This window comes from Homo sapiens, chromosome 14 (genome assembly GCF_000001405.40).
Source record: "Homo sapiens chromosome 14, GRCh38.p14 Primary Assembly".
NCBI classification, from domain to species: Eukaryota; Metazoa; Chordata; class Mammalia; order Primates; family Hominidae; genus Homo; species Homo sapiens.
The window spans coordinates 81,381,091-81,407,937 of NC_000014.9; the positions used below are offsets into that span (position 1 = coordinate 81,381,091).

The 26,847-nt window shown below is 41.7% G+C and overlaps 1 protein-coding gene across 15 annotated transcripts in view, besides 1 other annotated feature; it reads right to left on the minus strand.

The window, feature by feature from the left end:
- Positions 1-26,847, minus strand: part of STON2 (stonin 2) — a 175,814-nt gene that overhangs the window by 120,439 nt on the left and 28,528 nt on the right. For 8 of the 15 annotated variants that reach the window (XM_024449736.2, NM_001366850.2, NM_001366849.2 and 5 more), the window contains exons 3-4: positions 17,205-17,490; positions 14,804-15,088 (exon numbers count right to left, since the gene is read on the minus strand). In XM_024449736.2, coding sequence (XP_024305504.1) covers positions 14,804-15,088; positions 17,205-17,292 — 373 coding nt within the window. In that variant the 5' untranslated portion in view covers positions 17,293-17,490. Of the gene's footprint in view, positions 1-14,803; positions 15,089-17,204; positions 17,491-18,690; positions 19,298-26,847 lie in introns of those variants that run through there. The other 7 variants (XM_047431815.1, XM_047431816.1, XM_047431811.1 and 4 more) reach the window with 3 other exon arrangements.
- Positions 4,893-5,393: an enhancer, noted in NCBI's record as "H3K4me1 hESC enhancer chr14:81852327-81852827 (GRCh37/hg19 assembly coordinates)". NCBI's record gives its function as "activates a minimal SCP1, AML or CMV promoter by ChIP-STARR-seq in primed H9 embryonic stem cells {active_cell/tissue: H9 hESC(primed)}" and the evidence as "EXISTENCE:reporter gene assay evidence [ECO:0000049][PMID:30033119]".

Genomic DNA, 26,847 nt, shown 5'->3' on the forward strand with positions numbered 1-26,847 from the left:
GTTAAAATAAACAACAATAAAACATTGTATTAGAAAAACTGGATATCTACATGAAAAAGTGAAACTAGACTTGTACTTCAAACTGTACAGAAAAATCAATTCTAGCTAGATTGAATGTCAAAGTGTGAAGGCTATATAAGAAACATTTTAGAAGACAATATAGCCAAATGCATTCATGACTTTGGAGTAGAGAAATATTTTCTTTACCAAGACACAGAAAGCACTAATAATAAAAGAGAAATTGAAAAAAACTGTATCATTAAAATAAATAACTTATTTTTGCCAAAAGACATAAGGAGAATGAAAAGACCATTCACAGGATAGGAGATAATATGTGCCACACATTGAATGCACCAGGAACTCCCAGAAATCAGCAAGAAAAAGGCAGAGACACCAACAGGAATATAGCTGAACAGGGATTTCATGAAAGAAAAATCCAAATGGCACCAAAAAAGGATGCTCTCAACCTTGTTAGTAATCTAGGAAATGCAATTTAAATCACATGATATATTAAGATCCTGTTACCCTTCCCCCTTTCTTTCTCCACTTCCCTGATCACAAAAATAGAAAAATATGACAATCCTAAGTGCAGCTGAGGAAATGGAGCCACAGTGTCTTTCATGTACAGCTGGTAGGATAGTAACTAGAAACCACTTTAGAAAATGGCTTGTTGTTATCTGATTAAGCTGAATATGAACACATCCTAAAGCACAGCAATTCCCATCCTACTTTTTTATACAAGAGAACCACCTGCACATGTTCACCAGGATACACGTTAAAAATGTTCATAGAAAGACAAAAATAATGCTCATGGAAGTGCATTATCATCTTAGAAACAACCCAAATGGGCCGGGCACGGTGGCTCACACCTGTAATCCCAGCACTTTGGGAGGCTGACACAGGCGGATTACGAGGTCAGGAGTTTGCGACCAGCCTGGCCAACACAGTGAAACCCCATCTCTACTAAAAACACAAAAAATTAGCCAGGTGTGGTGGCAGGCACCTGTAATCCCAGCTACTCAGAAGGCTGAGGCAGGAGAATCGCTTGAATCCGGGAGGCGGACGTTGTAGTGAGCTGAGATCGTGCCACTGCATTCCAGCCAGGGCGACAGAGCAAGACTCTGTCTCAAAAAAAAAGAAAAGAAAAGAAAAGAAACAATCCAAATGTCCATCAAAAACAGAATGGATAAATGGATTGTAGCATATTACTATAATGGAACACAGAGTAATAAAAACTAAAAGAACCATAGCTACAAGTTCTTTTCGTTTTTGACATGGACAATTCCCACAAAAAATGTATTAAAGGAGTAAGCCACAGAGTAATACAGTATTATTCCATATATATAAAGTTCAAAACCAGGCTAAATTATCATTCTTGATGCATGTGTAGGTAGTAAAACTGTCAAGAAAAGTAAGGTAGTTATCATCATGAAACTCAGAAGGTGGTGATACAGAGGGGAGGGAAGGGGATGTGATGAGGGAGGAGGGTGTGATCAGTAGGGAAACACGCAGGGCCTCCGGCGATGACAATATTCCATTTATTAAACTGGGTGATGGGTTGTACTGCTGTTCTTTATAATCTAATACACAATCTTAAATGTTCTTTTGTATTTATTCAATAGGTAATAAAACTTATTAAAACCACATATCAAAAAAAGACAGATTACTCAGTAAGAAAGCTATTTCACTTAATGGTATTTGCACATCGGCTCCTTACATTTGTGAGATAAAATGCCAACGTTTCTCTTGAAAGAGAAACTAGGAAGAGTGCATTTGGGAGAAGCAAAGCTTCTGCCTCTCACAAACTGTTCTCATTCGCTCTAATACACTTTGTTTATTTTTCGGCTTAGAAATCTCCGATAAGTTATTTTATTCAGGTTCTTAGTTGAATGTCCTCAGGCCACAAGCTTAGCTGAAAGAAAGTACTGGGCTTGGAGCTGACTCTGCTCCCAGGGGCCAGACCTTTGATGTCTGAGCCAGGTAAAAACAGGATGCTGCCATCATATTTCAAGCCACATCCATCCAGCTTGAAGGAATAAAGTGAAGGAAAGATCAATATCTGCTTCTTCTCCTTTCCTATGAGGTTAAGATCAGGGACCCTGGATCCAGACTGCCTGGTTTGCATACCAAATCCAGCCCTGTAGCCTGGAGCAAGTTGCTCAAATCCATTTGTTCCTCCTTTTTCTCACCTGTAAAATGGAGCTGAAGAGAGTACAAACCTCCTAAGGGGATTAGGTTAATACTGATGAGGCACTAGCAAAAGTGCTTGGCACAAAAAGAGTACTCAACATGGGTTAGGTGGTGATGGTTATTATTCTCAAACATATATTTTTGTCCAAATCGACTTGACATCTCCATCTGGGTCTCTAACTTTACATGTCCAAAACTAAGCTCCTGTTATTCCCTCCAAACCAGCCCCTGCATCCTTTCAACTGCTCAGAACAAAACCATCAAGTCATCCTTGATTCTTCTCACAGTTGCTCCATCACAATTTTTGCTAGTCCTACCTTCAAAATACATCTGGAATCCAATCACTTCCTGCCTTCTCCAAGCTACCACCCTGCTGCAAGCCACAATCCTCTCTTGCCTGGATGGATACAGTGGCCTCCTACCTGGTCTCCTTGCCTCCACCTCTGTCCTCTCCTCCCAGTCTATTCTCAGATACACCACTCTCAACCGCTACACCATAGCTGCCACACAGTTTTAACAGAATTACTGTTGAAACTCAAGCTGGATCAGGCCACACCTCAGTTCAAAACCCTCCATTAGCTTTCCATCTCACCCACAATAAAAAATCAAAGTCCTCAACATGTCTGCCAAGGACCTGTGTGTCTGAGTCTCTGTAACGTTTCTGCCTCACCTCCTTGTCTTCTCTCCACATTCACTCTACTCCGGTCACACACCAAGAGCACAGGTGCCCCTCAAGGGCTATTCACTTGCTGTTCCTTCCACATGGAAGACTCCTCCCTACTTTCTGCAAGGCTTGCTGCCCCATTTCCCCCAGGTCTTCACTCACATTTACCTCTCAAACAGTCACTCCCTGGCCTTATGGAAAATTTCACATCCCCCTCACCATAGTCCCTTGTTTTGCCTCATTTTTCTCTCCTTCCCAGTTTGTTACCTAACACACTTACTGTATTATTTTTATTTATTTATTTATTTATTTTATTTTTTGGAGACACAGTCTTGTTCTGTTGCCTAGGCTGGAGTGTAGTGGCACAATCTCAACTCACTGCAACCTCTGCTTCCCCAGTTGAAGCAATTCTCCTTCCTCAGCCTCTCGAGTAACTGGGATTACAGGCGCCCGGCTAATTTTTGTATTTTTAGTAGAGACAGGGTTTCACTATGTTGGCCAGGCTGGTCTCAAACTCCTGACCTCAAGTGATCTGCCCGCCTCAGCCTACCAAAGTGGTGGGATTACAGGCGTAAGCCATCGCGCCCAGCCCCTAACACACTTATATTTACTTCTTTAGTGTGTTTCTGGTATGAACCCCCCTCCCTGTCCCCCCGCAGAATGTGGGCTCCATGGGGCACGAGTATTTGGCTGTATCCACAGTGTTTGAACATGACTTGAACGTGAGCATAAAGCGGGAAATCAAAATAACATGGATTATGTGAATAATAAATCTGCAAGTTGTCAGCTAATACAGTATTTTTCTTTCTTCTTGTCCTTCGGGATCCTGGGTAGATTAAAATTTTAAATACATATATTTTGATGTCATGTCCTTTATATTTTGATGTTTAATCACCAGAGTTATAGGATTTTTTTGATGTGTAAATGTGCCCATCCATGCACAGAAAATAGATCTAACTCCATTCTTTTATCTGTGGCTCCTCTGCTTTTTCATAGCTGGCAGTATGAAGCAGCTACTGCTCCCAGGACTAGCTCAGAGGAGCTCTTGTTCACTCCCCAAAAGCTCCATTAGTAACAGATTGCCCAACTGTTAGGCAACTTCAACGTGGGGAGAGCAGGGACTGTGTCCAGCTCTCCCATAACTGTATTCCCAGCACCTACATTTTTTTCTGCATGAATGAACTAGTTAATTGATGCATGCTTGGGTGGTTTATTGTGTTTTGTATCCCACACCAAGGGTGAGCTAGGCCACATGGCCTCTCTGGGTGAGCTTGCACATTCTCTGCAAGAGGAGAATATTGGAGTTTTAATAAAATATTCTGTTTCCTTTTAGATACTGGAAAGAGTTATTTTTAAGAACACTTCACCATCCTCCGTGGCATGATGACACTTTTAAATACAACAAAACTATTGCTTTTAAATGTGCTTTTTAAAGCAGGCCTCAGGAAAAAAATATAGGTGTAGTTGTGTATGTGTATGTATGTATGTGTGTATGTATCTATGTATATGTCCATGGTGTGTATACACTCATGTATGCACATACATATGTGTGTGGAACAATGGGAAATCATAACCCTATGAAAATAGCTGAAAAGAAGGGGACAGGATGGGTAAGAGGCCAGTTTCCTTGCCTATCTTGTTTAAAAAACAACAAGCTGACTTCACTGAGGGCGCCATCCTTCAAGTTCTACCTAACAGCTCATTAGCCCCACAAATGGGAGTCAGTCACTTAGTCATTCTGCAGAAGGTTTCATGTCCATCTTTTCTCTCTCCTTTCACTAGTCCAGCAAATCCTAGGTGGGCACCTACTAAGTTCCTCAAACCATATTCTGGAATAAAGAATAAATTAGATAGACAAAGTCTTTCCCTTTATGGAGAAGAGAGATAATAACAAGTAAACTAATGCATATTTGACCCAATTGCAGGTAGAGGCATGGGCTGTGAAGACATTTGAAGCAGAAAAAAGCTAGAGAGTGGAGGTGGAGGGTTCTGGCCCCCCGCTGCAGAGGCGATGCTTGAGCAGAGTTTGGAGTGAAAATGTGGAGGAAAAGCTCTCAGGGCAGAGGGAACAGCCAGGGCAGCAGTGAACTGGCCTGGAACGGCGAGAGAGGCAGTGCAATTACAGCAGACGGAGCCCAGGGGAGAGGATCAGAGACGGCATCAGCCCTGAGAAGGAAAGGCTCTGCTGAAATTTATTCCTGGGTACAGCATCCTCTGAGACGGACTCCACAAAGGTCATTAACTACATTTAGAAGCACAGAAGAACAATTGAAGGTATTAAAAAAAATAAAGCCTCTTCTGTTGCAGGGGGAATTACATATGCATGCAAAATGCAGTAGGGCCTTGTCCACATATTCACCAAAAGGGTTGGGATATCTTATTCCACCCCCACCCACCACTCACTACCCCCATTAGCCAGAATGAACAACATAATAGAAATTAACGGCGGGGCTAGTCTTCTTCAGGATGAAGCCTCTCAGCTGTCACCCCTGCCTCCCTCTTAAATGGCTGACATCATCTCTGATCCTCCCCCAAACAAGTGGCTCTTTCTCTGGTCCCAAATAATTAGTTTCCCCAGACACAATGGGAAGGCCTTAGCCCAAGCTTTTAGGGAAGACGTTTGAAGCATAAGGGAATACTAGTGTTTTGCTTGGGCTATGGGACAAAAGTTCCGGAAATGAAAGGGTTTTTTTGTTGTTGTTTGTAATTATGCACATCCTGCAGTATCTGCATAATGGGTCCAATTCAGCCCTGGCCTTGCAGAAAAATTACCATGTCCCTGGAGGAAGGTCAGCATATGAGTGAACAGGAAGCTTCATGCTGACAATAGTGCCTTAATTTTTTTTTCTTTTTAAATTTTAAGGATGAACTTTGCTCTTTTAGTCCATTTGTCTGCAGGCATTTGCAGACATGTTCTAAACACACCCACACTTGTAAAATGTACGTACTTAAAATCAGCCTTGGCTTTGAGAGAACAGTATAAAGATTTTGGATGATAGATGGGCTGACTGCTATATTCTTCCCGGTACCTGGTGGAATTTTAAAGCCAGAGGAAGCCTTATATGTTAATCAAACTTTTTGTAACTAGAGATAGTCAGGAACACTATTGGCTAAAGGACTCAACGTGAATAAGACATGAGATGGGTTTAGGTTCATTTTCAAAAAAATTTCTTTAGAGAACTATACAAAATTTCATTTTGATTTAACACCAGAAGGTTGTTTTTTTTTTTTAAAACATGCTGGTTCTGCTCATGGTTTTGTAGAATATCTATGCATCTAGTTCAGAGTTCAATAAATGAGTTTTCAGTTAAATTTGTTGACATTTTTCACCATACAACCTTAAATCATATGGCAACCTCAAATGGGAGATGTGAACAGTGTTCTTGTGGCTAATTTAAGTATTTGACATTAAAGGTTCTAATAAAAATCTTCTAAAGAGCTCACTTATCAACATGGCCCGACTCAAATGGGTCTTATGAAGTCAAAGAGGTATGAATCCCTCATTTGGCCTCCCTCAAATTTCAAGGGTTTTAATGTTGAACATAATTTTCATAAAAGATTCAAGGGGTATGATTCCATATGCTTCTTCATTCCTAGTAAACTCAGGTCTGAAGAACTGATGCTCTTTTTCCATATATATGGTTATACAAAGGCTTTTGTCAGGCCAGGCGTGGTGGCTCACGCCTGTAATCCCAGCATTTTGGGAGGCTGAGGTGGGTGGATCACCCACCAGAGGTCAGGAGTTCAAGACCAGTCTGGCCAACATGGTAAAACCCATCTCTACTAAAAATACAAAAATTAGCCAGGCATGGTGGCGGGTGCCTGTAGTCCCAGTAACTCAGGACGCTGAGGCAGGAGAATCACTTCAACCCAGAAGCGGAGGTTGCAGTGAGCTGAGATCACACCACTGCACTCCAGCCTGGGTGACAAGAGTGAGACTCAGTCTCAAAAAAAAAAGGCTTTTGTCACTCTCATTTTATTTTAATCATATTTTTATTTCTTTTCTTTTTTTTTTTTTTTTTTGAGATGGAGTCTCACTCTGTCACCCAGGCTGGAGTGCAGTGGCACAATCTTGGCTCACTGCAACCTCCGCCTCCCAGGTTCAAGCGATTCTCCTGCCTCAGCCTCCCAAGTAGCTGAGACTACAGGCACCCACCACCACACCCAGCTAATTTTTGTATTTTTAGTAGAGATGGCGTTTCACCATGTTGGCCAGGCTGGTCTCAAACTCCTGACCTTGTGATCCGCCTGCCTTGGCCTCCCAAAGTGCTGGGATTACAGGCGTGAGCCACCGCACCTGACCAATTTTAATCATATGTTTCTAAGGGAGACTGTATATCTCCTTTTTTCCCTGGCCAACCGTGATGGCACTTATTCACTTCAAACCCTGCCCTAATTAAAGTCCAAGAGAAAGTTGTTGCCTTGATGATTTAAGCATTTCTGGAGTTGTTTTTCCTACCAGCTGTTGCTCCTGGTTTTCCAATCAACCTTGGTATGCTTCAGTGCACAATAAAATAAGTAGCAGCCAGGTCACTAGGGTGGGGACTAACAACTCCCTGGCTTCTCTAAGGTTCTCAGTGCAGCTTCTAGCCATTTAAATACCATCAAAAATAAGAGACGTACCATTAATGACAGTCTCTTTGTCCCTAACTCCACTGTGCCTACAGCCTTGTTGCATTTTAATTAGGGCAAATAGTACATTCCAATTCCAGGCTGAAGTCCAATGCTCGCTTGGCTTTATTCTTAGGTGGCACAGTTTAAAAGATGTATTCTTTTGATTTTTACTCTTCATCTGCCAGAAAAACTTCAAAGAGTGGAAGAAAGGGAATTGGGGGATGGAAAAGGAATATCCCGGATAACCTCGCTACTTCCTCTGTGTGTGTTATGTGTGTGTGCTAGTCTCTTTCCCAACTTCTCTCTACAAGCCAGGATGTTCAGGTATAAAACAGCTGGCTAAGTAAGGTTTCACTTTTTCTTCCAGAAATTAAAACTAGGAAGAACACTGATCAGTTCTACTTCTCCTCCTCCTTCTCCTCCCACCACCTTTTTCTCTTACGACCTTCTCACAAAACAACATCCACAGAGGGGTTGCACAAGACAGGTACCAAGATAAACATTTTTACATCTCTCCCAACATGAAGACATCCGATCAGAAAGTATGGGCTCTTAATAGAAGTAAATGGAATATGAAGAGTAAAATGGGAAGAAATTAAACACTGCAACTATACATTATATATAGGAAAGAGTCAGTTTGCTCCAGTGATGCTGATGTGATTGGGAAAAGGGCTAAAGCCAAAAATTAGTTTCCACTGTTCCTTTTTTTCCTGGCTGAAATTTTTTTCTTGCACGCACAGAGACACACCTACATACTCCAAACTTCACCAAAGATTCCAAATTTTTGCATTTAAATACAGCACACCAAACACCTCTCTTGCCCTAATTCCATTTCATTCTTGCGTTATCCATGCTAAAAAGAGTTTGCTCAGTCTACATGAGTGAAGCTATAGCCCAAAATAGATCTAACATCTGACTGATGGAAATTAATGAACTAAGAAAAGCATTTTAGAGTGGATAAATGAGAAATTGATGGGCAAATCATTTCTATGTGGTCAGTTTAGACAAAAAGCACGAGAGGGCCATTTTGTCTAAGCTGGTCACCTAGCCGCCAGCAAACTGGCCACTACTTGGCCCACAGCTAGGTGGCCAATTTAGACAAAAGTTTCTCCTAGGTCAGTAGTGCCTACTTTCTCCAAGTGAGGAAAACTGGATAAAACTGAGTAAGAGCTGTGGGGAAGCCCCAGAAGTAAACGATAATTAACAAGGGAAGTTGCTTTAAATTCTGATTTTCATCCTTCACAGGAAGAGACAATAGATGCACCTGTCATAAAATGAACTTCTCAGACAAGTAATTCTCCCAGCATCCACTTATTCCTTTGCTTCCTCAGAGCCAGTTTCAAATTCTCAGCTGTATGAAATGAAAAACGTAGGCCAGGCATGGTGGCTCATGCCTGTAATCCCAGCACTTTGGGAGGCCGAGGTGGGCCGATCATTTGAGGTCAGGAGTTTGTGACCAGCCTGGCCAACATAATGAAACCCATCTCTACTAAAAATACAAAAATTAGCTGGATGTGATGGCACACGCCGTAATCCCAGCTATTTGGGGGCTGAAGCAGGAGAATCACTTGAACCCAGTGAGCTGAGATTGCGCCACTGGACTCCAGCCTGAGTGACAGAGTGAGACTCCATTTCAAAAAAAAAAAAAAAGAAAAACTTAAAAACAGAAAGACAAGTAGTGGTTGAAAGACAACCGCAAGAGATGGTAATCACAGCAGCACAGGTTGGCTCTGGTTTGCTACTAGAGGATCCAGGAAGAAGCCCAGTGGATTTCTGCTCAATTCTGAGCACTGCGCTATGTCTTTGAATATCCACACCTAGCAGAACTATACAGAGGAAGTGCTTAGTAAATATCTGGTGACTCAATGAGTAAATTATAAGGAGCTGTAAGGTTTAGGGACAAAGCACACTGACATGCACACATCTCCTTAAGAAATACCCTGCATCGTGAGCTGGGATCGCGCCACTGCACTCCAGAGCCTGGGCAACAGAGCGAGACTCCGTCTCAAAAAACAAAACAAAAAACAAACAAACAAACAAACAAACAAAAAGTCCTGCATCATTACAGATTTACAGATGCTCCCCTAATTCAGACTGACTCATTCTCAGCCTTATGCAAAGGGTTCCATTTTAAGATTTTACAGACTTAGTACATTAGTTTCCTATGGCTGCTGTAACAAATTACCACAAACTTGGTATCTCAAAACAACAGTAATTTATTCTCTCACAGTTCTGGAAGCCAGAGTCTGAGATGAGAATCACTGTGCTAAAATCAAGATGTCAGCAGAACTGCACTCCCCGCAGAGGCTTTAAGGAAGCATCTGTTTCTTGTATCTTGCAGCTTCTGGTGGCTGCCGGCATTCCTTGGCTGTGGCTTCATCACTAAAATCTTTAAGATCAGCATTTTCAAATTTCTTTCTGTTTCATCTTCACAGTGCCTTCTCTTCTGTGTAAGCAAAATCGCCCTCTGCCACTTTCATAAGGATGCATGTGATTGCAGTTAAGGCCCACAGATAATCCAGAATTATCTCCCCATCTCAAAATCCTTACTCTCATCTACAAAGACCCTTTTCCCAAATATGATAATATTTATAGGTTCCAGGGAGGACAACCTAATGTCTTTGGGAGCCATTACTCAGCTTAGTATTACTGGAAGAACAGAGCAGGTAGCAGTGATTGCAGCAAGTCTCACACTGTCTCTACTTGCTGCAAACATCTGTGTTATTTCTGCATAATGCCTGCAGTTACATATGTGGTATTATTGCAATATACAGCACATGCATTCAAACATTTTGGATTCAAATTAAAATCTGAGCTGCACAACAGCCTCCTGAATGGAATGACTGTGTAACTTGGGGAATGTCTACATTATCCATTATGTGGGGGCAGGAGTGGGGGGCTAACGCCTAGTCTCTCCTGTGTAATTGGCCTTAGCTCTGCCAATTACTCTATCCTTATTGTTAAACACAATCCATGGGAGGAAACCCAAGAGGGAATTAGCTTATGTGGGAGAGGTTAGTTTGGGTAATAGGAATGTACTCTGCAGCTTTTGATTCAGTTTAGGTTCATTGATGGGTCAAGTTGGGTATTGGCAGAAAATTTGGAATTGAACCATTTTCTTTACCACTCTAATGCTGTGCACCGTCCCCTATGCTCCTTGGGTTTCCAGGTTAGAAACACTTCTTGAGGTGGGGCTGGCCCTCCACATGGTTTATTTCTGCTTCTTGCCTACAGACTGGGCATCAAGTCTGCTGGGAACCCATCCTACAGGACCCTCCTAAGGTAGAAAACTCCATCTCCACAGGGTTGAGTTAAATTTTCACACATATGAACAGATGGAATTATTCATACTTGAGCAGTTTTCAAAATTATGCTTTCATGCATTTGAACACTGTCATTTCTTGATTTATTCTCTAGTAATATTAATACATCTAAAATTCTTAGGACAATGCAGGGCTGAGATTAGGCTAAGGCAAGTGACACACTTGCCTTGGAGGTAAAATTTAAGAGGGTGCCAAAAAACTCAGTAATCAAAGTAACATTTTAAGGCAATATGTTAAAAATATCAACTCAAAATCAAAGCAGCAAACTACAGCTCACAGGTTGACTATCTCTGTAAATAAAGCTTTATTAGAACCAGTGAGACAGCCAGAGGGGAGGGGGTTCCCAGAAAAACTCCAACTGGCCTGTGCACTGGGGTGGAGCTGCGGAAGTTTGTGCCACTTGCAGCAGGGAAGAGCCTGGCCCCTCCTCTTCCTGTGTGGAACCTGGGATTTGGGCGCGGTCCGGAAGTGCTCTAGATGAACTCTGGCCTCGCTGAGAGTCCCTGTTTCCCCTCTTTTTTCCTTTTCACCCAATAAAGCCCTGCTTTACTTACCCTTCAAACCATCTGTGAGCCTGAATTTTCATGGCTGTGGGATGGACAAGGACCCCATCTTTAGCTGAACTTTAGGAAAATTCCTGCAACACCAGGTCCAGGTGGGCCAAGTGTAGCATAGTCATGAAAGTGTTAATTGAATCTTGTCTTTAAAGTACTGATATTTTGTTCATTAAGAATTTTTTGCATTATGTGATTTTAAAAAATAATTTTAAAATAACTTTAATTTTTAAACTGAATTCTTAAATATTTTTTTAAAAACTTTTTTTTCAAGACAATTATTACAATTTGATATGGAGCAAAAGTGCTTCATGTATTTTTTCCCAATCTGTCACAGAGAATGTTAAAAAGACATACTCAAGAATCACAATTTTAAGAAATTAATAATTTTTACTGCCTCATCAAGGATATTATTGGGTGAAATATACATTTTGTTTTACTGTGAGTAGACAATGGCCAAAAGTTTCATCTGCTGTTATTTTTTAACCATCAATGCAAATGTCAATGCAGTGAAAAGGCAAATAACATCTTAGAATTAGAATGAAAATGATTTTAACCCCAAAGACGCCTTGAAAGGGTCTCAGGAGACAGCAAGGTCTATGGGCCAGACTGTGAATTGCTGCCTTAAAGGGTAAAGCTTTCACAATATATCAAAAGCATTGTCAGTCACAAGATAAGATCCTCAGTCAGATGGGGGCAACATAATTATGACTAATCTCAAAATTAGTTTTGGAAAAATCAGTGAAGAGTTGAGCAAATTGACTGTCATATAAATAGTTTTGAGCAATCAGGAAATCTTTGAGGCTAAAGATAAAATGTGAAAGAATCTGAATGGCATGAATATAATCCATGACCTGAAGGCACGGCCATTTTAGGGCAGCAAAGTGGAGAAAGAGCACCCCACCCATCACTTACCTTCCATTCCTTGCCCCCACTGCCTCCTGGGTAATGAGGGAGCAGAGGATACTAGAGCAGCAGCAGCAGCAGCAGCAGGAAGAGTGAGGCAAACGGAAGGAGAGCACAGGGCATCCGAAGGCTGCTCCAAGACCTTGGGGCCGGTCAGCCTGGTGCGGAAGCTCTCCTGCCATTTCCTAGCACACAATCTTGGTTGAATTCCCAAAGCCCACTTCTGGCTGAGTCTCCTCCACCATGTGTAATATGGATTAATATTAATACCTTCCTCATACAATTGTTGTAAGGAGTACATGATATGAAGTAGCTAAGGCACTGAGCACAGAAACTGAGACAATAAGTATGCAGTAAATGTATCATATTAAGCAGAAGGAACATTATTTCTGTGCTCATTCACTGCCCAGTGTTCCGTAACTTTTCCCTACATGCATCAACACTTAGCCCAGAGCCTTCTCAGTGTTAGGTGTTCAGTAAGGGAAGCCTGTCTGGACCTGTCACTTCTTCCACGCTGCACTGAGAGTCATGACTCAATGACAATTCATGCAGAAATCTGATGTTTAGGCTGGGCATAGTGGCTCACGCCTGTAATCCCAGCACTTTGGGAGGCTAAGGCAGGTGGATCACCTGAGGTCAAGGAGTTCGAAACCAGCCTGGCCAACATGGCAAAATCCTGTCTCTACTAAAAATACAAAAATTAGCCAGGCATGGTGATGGGTGCTTGTAATCCCAGCTACTCAGGAGGCTGAGACCTGAGAATTGCTTGAACCTCAGGGGCAGAGGTTGCAGTGAGCTGAGATTGCACCACTGCACTCCAGCCTGGGCAACAGAGCAAGACTCCATCTCAAACAAAAAAAAAAGGAAATCTGATGTTCAAATATGAAAAAATAGACATAAATGTGCAAATTATTATGTAAAAATATAAATGTTTGTTACAGAATTGTTTTATATTTTCTTAAAATCATTTTAGTATTGAAAACACACTGAAAAACAAAGGAATCAGCCTTAAAAAGTGACACTAGCAAAACATTTAACACACCAACAGAAAAATATATCAACCCTGCTTTTTGCTAGTAGGTCTCTGTGGTAGACAGAATGCCTCCCATTCTACCCCAAGATGTCCACATCTTGATTTCCAGAACCTGTGAATATGTTACTTTATATGGCAAAAGAACTTTACTGATGTGATTATGTTAAGGACCTTGAGATGGGGACATTATCCCGGTGAGCCCAGTGTAACCACAGAGGTCCTTAATGCCTGGTGAGCCCAACATAACCACAGAGGTCCTTAATGGAAGACAAAGGCAGATGTCAGGGAAAGATGTGACTTCAGAAGAAAGGCACAAAGAGATGCCACATTCCTGGCTTTGGAGATAGAGGAAGGGGCCATATGCCAAGGAATGTTGACAGCCTCTGAAAGCTGGGAAGGGCCAGGAAACAGACTCTCCCCTAGAGCTTCCAGAAAGGAACACAGCCCTGCCAACACCTTGATTTTGACCCGGTGACACCCATGATGGACTTCTGAAATACAGAATCATAAGATGATAAACTTATGTTGTTCAAGCCACTACACTTGTGGTGACTTGTTACAGCAGCAAATAGAAAACTAATACAGTCCCAAAGCTTATCCAATCACCTGTGGCATACTTCAGTGCACAATAAAGAAGTAGCCAGGTCACCAGGATGGGGACTAACAAGTCCTACAGCTTTACTAAGCTCCCCAGTGCAGCTTCTGGCCATTGAAATGCCACAAAATAAGAGATTTCTCATGAACAACCATCCCTACCCATGAGGATTTGGATTCAAGAGTTCTGAAGTGTGAGAATATCCATGTTTAACAAATCCTATTGGTGACTTGGTTAGACATGGTCAGTGGTCCACACTTTAACACACATTCATTTCTGTTTTTATTTTTTGGAGACAGAGTCTAGCTCTGTCACCCAGCCTGGAGTGCAGTGGCGCGACCTCAGCTTACTGCAACCTCCGCTCCCAGGTTCAGCAATTCACATGCCTCAGCCTCCTGAGTGGCTGGGATTACAGAAGTGCACGACCACGCCCAGCTAATTTTTGTATTTTTGGCAGAGACGGGGTTTCTCCGTGTTAGCCAGGTGGGTCTCAAACTCCTGACCTCAAGTGAGCCACCCTTCTCGGCCTCTCAAAGTGATGAAATTATAGGCATGAGCCACCGCACCCAGCAGAAACATTCATTTCTGTATGTAAGGTGCTTACAGTTTAGGGGCTGAGTAAATATAATTCCAATCCCTAATAGAAAAATATATATGCATTATTTTAAAGACAAGTCAACAGCCAGGGACAAGAGTAAAGGACTAGAAATGTCCTAGAACACATACATTCTTTTGTATGCTTATGTCAACAAAAACAAGTTACAGAATTAAACCAGATGAGAACTCCGTCTGCTCTCCCCTATGCGACCAGTGCTTCAGGGTTAGGGGGCAGATGAAATGGAATCCTGGCAGCCCTATAGACCTCTCACTGAAAAGCATCCCTGCTGACCACAAACCCAAGCCGGGCCCTTCCTACCTCCTCACCTGTCTCAGCTGTTTCCTGATGAGGTGGAGATGTGCTGGCCCAGGGTGTGTCATCTTCAAACTGAACCCAGTTGCTGATGGCCGAGGCCAGGTCAGGTGGGGGCTGCTCAGGGCTCCCAGGTGGGGAAGCTGCTTCAGAGATGAGGCCCATCTTTTCAGAGGAGTCATCCTGCTCCGAGTGGGAATGGTCTTGAGAGCCTCCATCCACCACATGGTTCTCCCCGGAGGAGCTCTCGGACTGGTCTGGGGAAGATGACAGTCCTGGGAGGTGCTCTTCCGTGCCCCCTGAAACAGATACCAGACGCCACCATCATGTGAGGAAGGCCGCTCTTCAGAGCCATCTCATGGAGGCAAAAACTAAGGATGACCATGGGGTGCCCGCATGACTCGCCACTGCAGTGAGTGGGGAGAAGAAAGAGCCACACCCATCTGACTGCATGTTAAATGACTGTTTCCCTAATCATGTGTAAATGCTGTAAGCTCAGCATGTCTCCAGTCAGTATCCTGGCAGGCAGAGACTAGGAGCCTTCTTCACTATTCTTATGCCAGCATCTACTCCAGTGCTTGGGGGTCACAAAGGAAAGTGCTTACAGAGGTCAAGTAGGAAATATACCTGAGTCAAGTGAGACAAGTGAAAGGCAAAAGGGACTGGTGGGGACTGTGGCTGAACAAGAGCACTTCTGTCTGAAGACATTCAAATTCAAATTTCAAATTCTTTGCAGTCTAAGCTATACACAGCCACAGGACACCAGGTGCAAACCCATGTGCACTAATGACCAGCTGAATGTAACCTAGAGGTTATTTCTGCAGCACTGTATCACTTGATTGGCCCCAGAAAATTAAACAGCCTTCAAAAATTTTTTTTTTGGAAATTAAAAAACCTGGCCGGGCGCAGTGGCTCATGCCTATAATCCCAACACTTTGGGAGGCCGAGGTGAGTGGATCACCTGAGGTCAGCGGTTCGAGACCAGCCTGACCAACATGGCAAAACCCCATCTCTACTAAAAATACAAAATTAGCCGGGCATGGTGGCACATGCCTGTAATCCCAGCTACTTGGGAAGCTGAGGCAGGAGAATCGCTTGAATCCAGGAGGCGGAGGTTGCAGTGAGCTGAGACTGCACCACTGCACTCCAGCCTGGGCAACAAGAGCGAAACTCCGTCTCAAAACAACAACAACAACAAAAAAACTATATCCTGATTATGGTGGTAGATACACAAATGTATACATGTGCTGAAATTCATCAGCTGTACAACAAAAGAAGTCAATTTTTCTGTATAAAGGTTTTTAATCAAATAATTAATATAAAATCTTTTCTCCCATCACTAGCCAACCGGTCCATCTGCAAGTATTCAAAGCCTCTACAGCACGTCAAACAGAAATAAAATGTGAGCTACATATGTAATTTTAAATTTTCTAGTAGCCACATGAAAAAAATTAAACACAACAGGAGAAAGTATTTTAATAATACACATTTCAACCCAATGCTGAAAATTTATAATTTCAACATGTAAGAAATATAAAATTATTAGCTATTTAATTTTTTTAAACTAGGTCTTTGAAATTTAGCATAGGTATCTGATGCTTACAGCACATCCCAATTCAGACTTGTCACATTTCAGGGGCTCAGTAACCACATGGCCACCATATTGGAGAGCATACCTGTCGACTCACACTTTCTAGGTGTTATAAATGACGGTGGGATGACTTCAGTTGGCACTGGTAGCTGTAGTAGAACAGAACCAACTCACATGTCTCTGCAAATATCTCCTGGATCCTACCTTGACCTTCATCCCTGAGCACAAGTTCTCCAAAGTCAATATAGTCATCCTCCTTATGATCAAGGATGACCGTACTGAGCTCTTTCCACGTGCCAGGCACTGCTCTAAGCACTTTTATGTATGAATTCACTTAAGCCTCACAGCAACCTGTGAGATAGGTACTGATTATCCCTACTGTACAGATAATGAAGCTATGCATGGAGAGGTTAAATAAATAATCTACCCAAAAGCATATCACTCATCCCTGGTGCAACAGGGATTTGAACCCAAGCACTCTGGCTCCAGAGCCTGTCACTTTTAACAACTACTTTTAATAACTACATTTTAAAAAGGCTGAGAGTAAAGTATTTGGTAAATATTAAGTTTTTGTTTCTTGGGAGAAAAGAGCCACTACCTTTGGTGTTTCCAAGCCTCTTTTTAGGGCCCTAAGGTTCCCAAGATGCTTTTTCAGTGTGTAAATTCTTCCACTTAGGATTCTAAGATCTCAAGAAAGAAAGTGAGAAACTGACCCTTTTTTCTATATTAAGATCCCACCCAAAGAATAATCAAGTAGAAGCCATAACAAATAGACATGGTTCTTTGACAATCTCTTCACTTTAGGAAACGAAGGCACTCCTTACCCTGCGAGTGGGCAGGAAAGGGTGGCTCTTCATTGAAGGAGACCCATTCTGACTGGTGGGTGGCAATCACATGGTCCAAAGTCGTCATGCTAAAAAGGCACTGGTCATCTTCACACTGCTGACCTCAGGTGAACCCCAGAATACTGTCTGGGGTGGGCTGGAGTAGGGGTATGGTAGTACGGTAGACTTGGGTCCAGGGTCTGTTCTAGGTGTCTTGCCAAGGGCAGTACTCAGAATGTAGACAGATCAGCCTCTCTTGCCGTTGGTTAATCTGCCAGGCAGAAATCTGTTTAACAAACAAACAAACAAAAAATTAAAAAGGATAACCATCACATTACACTGAATCCACATAGGTCTAGGGCTTTTAGCGCTGCCCACAAGAAGGCTTGGGGTGGTTTCCAACTTGCCTTACTTCACTCTGTTCCTGTCATGCCCTCACCTTTTATACTGAAATGTCTGTCTTTAGCATCAAGGTTTCTAGATAAGCCTTCATATCACACTTGCAAATAATTACACAAATTTCAGCAATTAGATTCTCTAATTTCCCTAATTATTGTATTTTAGAAATATTGTCATCTATAATACTATCATTGCTAAACAAATATTAAAACTTTTCAAAATGCTTTCACTTTCTCTTACTAGCTGGCAAAATAAAAGCATGTTCTTTTCTATTAAATTAGTCCAGTTTCTTGCCTTAGGCAGGTAACTCTTTATAAACCTGATTTAAATCTCTGGCAGAAACCCAACAATCTCCAGATGGTATCTCCAAGCATGGTTTATCAATCAAGAAAAATAGAAATGAAGTGATCTTGTTCATTTGGAGTAAGAGGATAGGGAACATCTGTGGTAGTGAAAAATGTGAGTTAGAGTAACATTTTCAATCTAGGCCTATTTAAATTAGTTACAATGGTCTAGCCTTTGCTCACACTGCAATTATGTTCTAGGAATACAGAAAGATTCTTAATTGACATAATTTTGTTCATGGTATTAATATCTTTTTACAACCTGAACCTAGCTCTTGATCTAATAATGATTTATAATGAATTAATAAAATCTGAATTTATCTAAAATTAATGTGCTTCCATAGAAGAGCTACTATATACCTTGAACAATATCAGTTCTTATTAACTAAATATACACAATATTCAGATAGTTTCTAGAACAACTTAACTCACAGTCTTCCAATTGCTGCACAATGAAAAGTTTAGGAAATTTTACTACAGGTTATCATCTGCAGTAAATAATCTCTAGGTGGGAAAATCGGTAAAAACATGAACAGCTTTTGCTTTTTTGGTGTTTAAAACAGTTTTGGCATATGATGCTTCCTAAAAACAACTAATGTTTATATAGAATTTATAATTTTCAGAAACACATTTTCATACCATACTTCACTTGATTCAGTAGCCATTTTGATGAGTAGGACTCATAGTACTCTAATTCTTCTATGGATAAAGAAATTTGGGCTGAGAAAAATTAAGTGACTTACCTAATACTTTTAGTGCTTCCAGGCCCTTTTGGTAAAATGCTTCCTCCAGGCTAAGTGGAAGAGTTTACAAATCTCAGCACAGTGGCTGACTTTTCTTCATAATAAGATCTCACCCAAAGAATAATCAAGTAAAAGCCATAACAAGCAGGTGTGTTTGAAGCACCACACTAAGTGATAGATCCAACCCTTGAGCCCAGGTCTTCTGCAGCCAAAACACTCTAACCCTGGTGTCACAGCCGCAAAGAAGTACAACAGAATACAGTACATATAGACTATCACCCAACTTAAGTACTTTACAAATATCAATTACAATGGAACTGTAATGAAATGTCCGGGAAACTCCCCATGTGAAAGTTTGCCAGCACACCCCAAGCTGTATAAAGGATGGGAAGCCCAGAAGCCTCTTCTCCAAGTCCCTCTCCTAGGATCCTTGCCAACCACAAGGCCAGACATAGGCAAACAGCCTGGAGAGAGCAGGTCTCCCAAACCAGATCTTACCAGAGAGCAGTGCAGGGTCCACAAGCACAAAGAGCTGATTCCCACTGGCTTCTGCCTTTGACGACTTTCTCAAGCCCTGTCAAATGTGTGTCACTCAATGTGGTAATGGCTGCGGGCCAAGATAAGGCAGTAAAATTGAAGAGTCAGATTCCTCCTCTTTCAACGACAGCAGCATGTAAACCAGCCCCACAGCACCCGTCAAAAAAAAAAAAAAAAAAACCCACAATACAAGTCCCTATGCTGACACATGCAGTGTCATCACTCAATGGGGAAAACATCCTGCCAATCCTGCAATGATGAACCCAGCAAAAGTCATGGATAAGTGGGGTAGGGAAGAGAACAGGGGACGAAGGTGAAGGTAAGAGGAAAATATTTAAAAATTTTAAACTGAAAGGTTTTAAAGATCAACAACTTCAGGTGTTATGAGAAAACTGAGGCCCAAGGAAATCAGGCACACGAATAGAGATTGTGATCACAGGCCCAGGAGTTAGGTTGTTCGGATTTGAGTCCTATACAGTCTTGGAGTCCTATACAGTCGTGGACTCATAACTCAACCTCTTTAAGCTTCAGTTCAACCTTGTACAGAAAGAATAATAAAACTCACTCCATAATTCCGAGGATTAAACAAGATAATGTACGCCAAGTACTAAGGACTGGATGTAATAAACCCTCTGTAACGATGACAATGAAAACAGCAGGTGACCTTACAGAGGGCTTACTGTGCCCCAGGCTCCATTCCAAACCAATGTTAGCCATCGCCAGCACTGCTGCTATTGTTAAATGACTCGCCCAACGTTGCGTAACTTGTTCGTAGAAGTCTTGGGACTGGAATGCAGATTTCATGAAACCACTGCATTTCTGTCATTTGCAGAATCTGGTTTCAGTCATTGTTCAAAATGCTAAGTAGAGTCATGTGCTCAGCTACAGTGCCCAGAAGGCAGATTCTAAATCCTCTTCATTATAGATATAGGTGCATTCTGGCCAAAGTACCAAGACCATTCCTCAGAACGTATGAACGAAAAAAGAGCCCCAAAACTTTATCTATCCTTCCTTCACTTGTCCCAGACCAGACATGGGCTGGTGACAGACAATGAGTGGTCCCAATGAAGACTGGTGGAACAAATTGATCACATGGAACCCCCCATCATATTCCATACCATAAATCCATAAAATGGATTTTAGGTATTTGCCATGGAAGAGCCACACCAATAAGCCATAAGAAATCAGACCTTGAAAAGTGCTGTGCTAAGCAGCTGGAAACCCACAGAAGAACCCAATAATTGTGAGGTTAAGTTCATACTGGAATTAGTTGCTTGGTAAAAACCTCACCCCATTTTTAGAATGTGAATCATAAAATGAGGTTTAGAATCACCACAAATGAGTGGTGACTCAGTATCAGCAGGAGGATTGACCAACAGATGCTAAAAGTTTCATTGAAGTCTTGGAGTTGCCATTTCAGAGAGCTACTTCTTTCTCAGCATTATACAAAAATTTGTAGAAGGGAGAATGCAATTGTCTGATAAGATGGGGGTCATAGAAGTAGTTTTGTCTTATGACAGTCCTCTAATTGCCACAGTTTAGCCGTAGGGAGATCTCTGAGAGTTGGAACCATATGGGACTGGGTGGGTTTCTGAGATGTGAAGGATGTCCTTGATTCTGGACCAACAGAGGGACAAGTGAGGGAAGCCTCTGGACAGGGGATCACCGCAAGTGACAGTAAAAATCAGAAGCAGACCTTAACAAGGTGTGTTTCTGTCTGAACAAGCCTCTGTCTGATGAGAGCAGAGGTATCTACTGGGGGAATATGGAGTGAAGGGATTGATTGACCATAAAAGCTAAGGAGAGTTCAAGGGGAAATGAGAAGCTGTGGGAGGTTTAAAAGCAGAGAGTGACTCAAGAAGTGTGCTTAAGGGAGATAAGCCTTCCTCAGACAGTGCTGGACAGAAGCGTGGTGATGGAATTTTTCAGCCATCAGTACCTCCGGTGTGTCTCACAAAGTTGGGGGGCACAGTCATCAGGAACATGTACTGTTTCTGCCCATTCTAGGGCCTGAGGGTCAAGGGAGAACAAAACAGCATCTCTGCCCTCAAGCAGCTGTCAACTGCAGGGAGATACCACAGCAACCTAAAACAATAACCTCTGCTCTCTAACCTATTCTGGTGGTTAGTCACCAAAAGTAGGACAGCAGCAAGTAAGAGTGTTAAGAGACTTCTGAGAGCTTGAGCTATAGGTGGTCTTGAACTGTACCCTAAGCCGGAAAGGAGGGGTCTGAGCAAAAGAGCTGAGGGGCACAGGCACTCAGGAAGGGGGAGCAGGAATGGTATGTCTAGCCCACAGTGAGTTACACTCTGTTCATCTGAAGAGGGTGTCAAGCATCCTGGAAAAGGAGCTCTAAGTTTCAGAACGAGTTTGAGCTCTGGAGCTTACCCTCTCCAATCCCACTGCCAATGCCTTGGCTCAGCCCCTCATGATCTCTCACGCAGACAGTTGCAAGTCTCCTACCTGTCTCCCTGCCTTCAGTATCACCTGCTCAAACCTACTATCCAGCCTATTATGGTAGAGTTATCTTCCTAAAACCTGAAAATGGCTATGCTACAGCTCTGCTTACAGCTCCTCAAAGTCTCCTCACAGGATAAAATGAGGTATGAGAAATGAACAAAGGATTCCTGAGAGCAGGGGTTGCATGCTATACCCTCAGCATTGAGCATAGTGCCTGGCACAGGTTAGCAGCTCAATAAAAATTGTCGTATAAATGCAGGCACTTTGTGAATCTGGCCCTGATCCACCTCTCTAATCCCATGTGTCATTCTCTCCCCTTGTGAATCCTATATTCCTGATGAACTGAGTTATTTGAAAGACTGTGTTTTTTAATATACTTTGTCCTATTCGATCACTTGTTCATATATTAATACATTATTAAATACTATATTTGGGATACATTTTCCCTACATTTTTATTTCATGAGCTCCTGCTCACCTTCAAGTCTTAGCTCAATCATTATCTCAGGCTTGGCTCAACAAGCATTTATGCCAAGTGGCAATCACTGAATGCAAAGATAAAGAACACAAATTATTTTGCCATAAAACCTTTATAATATGCATGCTCATTGTCTTTTGCCTACTCAACACCCAAAACTCCTTTCTTTTTCGAGAAAAAAAATATTATCTTTACATCCCTCCTGGCAATTAATCCAGGCTTTGTCAACGGCTGCTAGAATATTGAGGGAATGCTAAAAGGTACAAGGGCCTTGAATACATGCAAGAGTGGCATGCGAACAATGGAAACTTGACCCAAGCCCAGAAGCAGGCACAACTCAATTCCGTGGCAATGGTGACAAGTGCAGCATCCTAACCAGACCCATGGTGTGACTCTGTCTCTGTTTACTGCCGGCTAGGTCCTATGGCTCCTACCTATTTTCCAAGCCACGTTTGAGAGTCATCTGGCAATCCAATGAGCTCTTTCATACCCTTGAATAGACTTCTTTCCTGCTTGTATTAGCCAAAATTAATTTCTGTTGCTTGCAACCAAAAACTCTGATCTATGGTGGTACTCCTCAACTTCCAATAAGTAAAGTACCACACTTCCCACTTGCCCTTTATCCCCCATATCTTCTGAATGCTGATACTATCTTAACTTACACTCATTTACCAAATTATAATGAAATTATTTGCTAATGTCGCTATATGAGGAAAGGGACTTGATCTTTTGCTTATTGATGTCTTTAACTCTTAGAATAGGGTATGGCTTTTAGTAAATGCTTGTTGGGTAACCAGCTGAATGAATGAATTTGCCTTAACATACAGTAGGTAGCCTCTTCAGCTCTTTTGAGACGTTAATAAATGTTTTAGGAAGGTTAATTTAAACACTATGTGTAAAACAGCTTCGGAGAAAATCTAGATATAGGGAAATATGTTCATTCCCCTTTCTCTTTGATCTAAAATTATATCATCCAATTCCAATACAGCAGACACTAGACATAGGGACTACTGATATGTGGTTAATCTGAATGAGTTGTTCCTTAAGTGTAAAATATACACCAGACTTTAAAGAGTATAAAAAGGTGTAAAATATCTAATAATTTTATACTGCTTTCATGTTAAAATGGTATCCTGGATGTATTAGCTTAAGTAAAACATACTGTTAAAATTAATTTCACCAGTTCCTTTCAACTTTTTTAAATGAAACTACTAAAATATTTAAAATCATATATAAGTAGCCCACACTATATTTCTTCCTTTTTTAACTGAGACAGGATCTCACTCTTGCTCATGCTGGAGTACAGGGCACTATCACAGCTCACTACAGCCTTGACCTCTGCAGGCCCATGTGATCCTCCCACCTCAGCCTCCTGAGTAGCTGGGTCTATAAGTGCACACCATCACACCCACCTAATTTTAAAAAATGTTTCCGTAGAGACAGGGTCTCACTCTGTTGCCCAGGCTGGTCTCAAACTCCTGGGCTCAAGCAATCCTCCCACCTCAGTCTCCCAAAGTGCTGGGATTACAGGCACAAGTTACTGCACCTGGCCTCATGGTATATTCCTATTGGACAGCAATGCTCTAAAGCAGTCCATTTTTTATTTCATCCTTGATTTTGAAGGCTACTTTTCACAAGACAGAGAATTTTTCCTTCAGTATTTTGCCTTTTGGTCTGAATGTTTCTAATGAGCAGTTGATTATATGTAATTACTCATGCTTATATAATGTGTCTTCTTTCCTCTAATGGCTTTCAATATTTTCTCTTTATCTTTCATTTTCAGCAACTGACTATAGTGCATTTGGATGTAGTTTTCTTAGAACTCATTTTACTCGAAGTTAGTGGAGTTTCTTGAATCTGTATGTCCATTTTTTCATTAAATTTGGAAAAACTAAGTCAGTATTTCTTCAAATGTGTTTTTCTGCCCCTTTTCCATCTCTTCTGCTAATCTGTCCTTGCGTTCACTGACTCTTTCTCTTCTCATCTCCATTCTCCCATAAGCTTATCCCATGAATTTTGTATCTTATTCAGCTTTTCCATTTTATAATGTTATTTTACAGTTTCTATTTCTTTGCTGTGATGCCTTATATATTCACTCATTGTGACAATATTTTCCTTTAGTTCTTTGAACATATTTATAACGGCTGCTTTAAAGACTTTGCCTGCTAAATCCAACCTCTAGACCATTTGGGATTAGTTACTATTGTTTTTTTTTTTTTTTTGCTTGACTATGGTTTTTATTTTCCTAAGGTTTTTACTTTCCTAAGGTTTTTTTTTTTTTTTTGCATACCTAATAATTGTTGGTGATACACTGAAGACCTTCTGGATTTGACTTTCCTCTGCAGAGTGCTGATGTTTGTTCCAGCAGGCAGTCTGACCAAGTGCTGCTCGCCTAGAGCTTGTATAAAGCTTGGTCTTTTACTTCATTGGATTAATTTGTTTCCCATGGCCCTCTAATTGCCATAGGACTCAATTTCTAAACTCTGTCTCCCCTGTAGATCTTGACAGGGTATGATGGTTAATATTGAGCGTCAACTTGATTGGACTGAAGGATGCAAAGTATTGTTCCCAGGTATGTCTTTAAGGGTGTTGCCAAAGGAGATTAACATTTGAGTCAGTGGACTGGGAGAGGCAGACTCACTCTCAATCTGGGTGGGTACCATCTAATCAGTAGCTAGTGTGGCTAGAATAAAGCAGGCAGAAGAAAGTGGAATGACCAGACTTGCTGAGTCTTCTGGCCTTCATCTTTCTCCCATGCTGGATGCTTCCTGCCCTCAAACATCAGACTCCAATTTCTTCAGCTTTTGGACTCTTGGACTTACACCAGTGATTTGCCAGGGGCTCCTGGGCCTTTGACCACAGACTGAAGGCCACACTGTCGGCTTCCCTACTTTTGAGGTTTTGGGGCTCGGATTGGATTCCTTGCTCCTCAGCTTGAAGACAGCCTACTGTGGGACTTCACCTTGTGATCAATACTCCTTAATAAACTACCCTTCATATATACATCTATCCTATTAATTCTGTCCCTTTAGAGAACCCTAACACACAGGGCTTGGTTCTAGGCTTTGCTAGGGTAGCTTAAAGTAAATCTTACTCTAGAGCATGGGCTGGCAAACTACAGCCACAGCCTAAGTCTGACCCTCTGCCTTTTTTGGTAAATAAAGTTGTATTATTAGTATATTTACCAGCCACACTCATTAGTTTACATATTGTCTATGGCTGCTTTTGGTCTACAATAGCAGAGTTGAGTAGCTGTGACAGATACTGTATGGCTCACAGGGACTGAAATAATTACTGCTCAATAATAATAACTACTGGCCCTTTACAGAAAAAAATTTACAGACCCTCCTTGAGAACATGATCCTTACCCCTAAGACACAGGCTTTCCATACTTGGTTGGATGCTTGAGATGTTAATAAGACGTTAACGAGCTCTTTCCACTGTGGCTGGGCTGGACCACCAATGTCCCCCACTATTGCCTGATGTCCAGTATCTTTGTCCCATTCTCAATCCTCCAGCAGCCACTCTATTAAGCTCTGCATGGTTTCAGTGTGCACCTGTGCACTCTAAACTGGCCAACGGTTCTCTGGGTACACCCAGACATACTTCTGCTCCTCTCTCCCCATCCCCATGCTCTCTGCTCCCCAACTCTCTGCTCTCTGGTGCCCTGTCCTGCAGATTCCAGCTGCTTCAATTGCCCCAAACTCTGATCTCTGTTTTCTTAGCTCAGTATGACTGCTGTGCTTGGCTTAGACTCCAGCTGACCACACTGCAGTCACGAAACTCTTCCCTGGAAAAGAGCCAAGGCGAGTGTCAGGCTCACCTCAGGATAGAAAATCTTGTGCTGCCTGTTGACCGAAGCCTGAAAACAGTTGCCTCATAGATGTTGCTGTTTTGTGGTTGTTCGCTGCAGAAGAAGGGCTAGTTACCAAGTATAACCAGAACTGGAAGTCCTCCCCTGGAACATTACTTTCTGACTTGTGTTCACTTTTAAAAAGAGACTAGTTCAGACATCTAAATACAGGTCATTTCACAGTAATGTACTGAAAATTAATTGGAAATTTTACAGAAATTTTATAAATTATATGAGAATAAAAGGAAGGTTTCACTCAGCCATATAGATTAATTCCATTGCTCCAGAGCTGGGAAAATGATTTATTTTGTTAGGTTAGCTATGCTATATAATACAAAAACATTACTTGTGCCTGGTTAGTGATCCAAAAGAGGTTGTTAAATCTTTGGCCATCTTCCCTGTCTACCTCTTTTTCATAGGTATTAAGCTAGGTAGCGTCTATGAAAATCGCCACATCCACTTTTTGGGTTTGAGACTATTGGCAACCACTGTCCAGTCATCTGTTTGGAGTTTATGCAGAAACATCTTCAACTAGATCCTGGTGTCCATTCCAAACCCACAAGTAAGGCCTCAGTTTTCTCTTGAATAAGGACAAGCATCTAAAGGTCAAATCAAAAGCTACAAAGAAAGGAAGAATGGGAAAAACAGACTACATAAATTCTACATATTTCTTTACAGTGTTCTTCTAAAGCAAGATATTCAGCTACCTTATTGAGCATCTATTATGCACTCAGAATTGTGCATAGCACAGCGACACAAGATAATAACAAGCTTTCATACACTGATATCTGTGTCACAGTGGGCTACAGGAGCCATAGAAGCTGAATCAG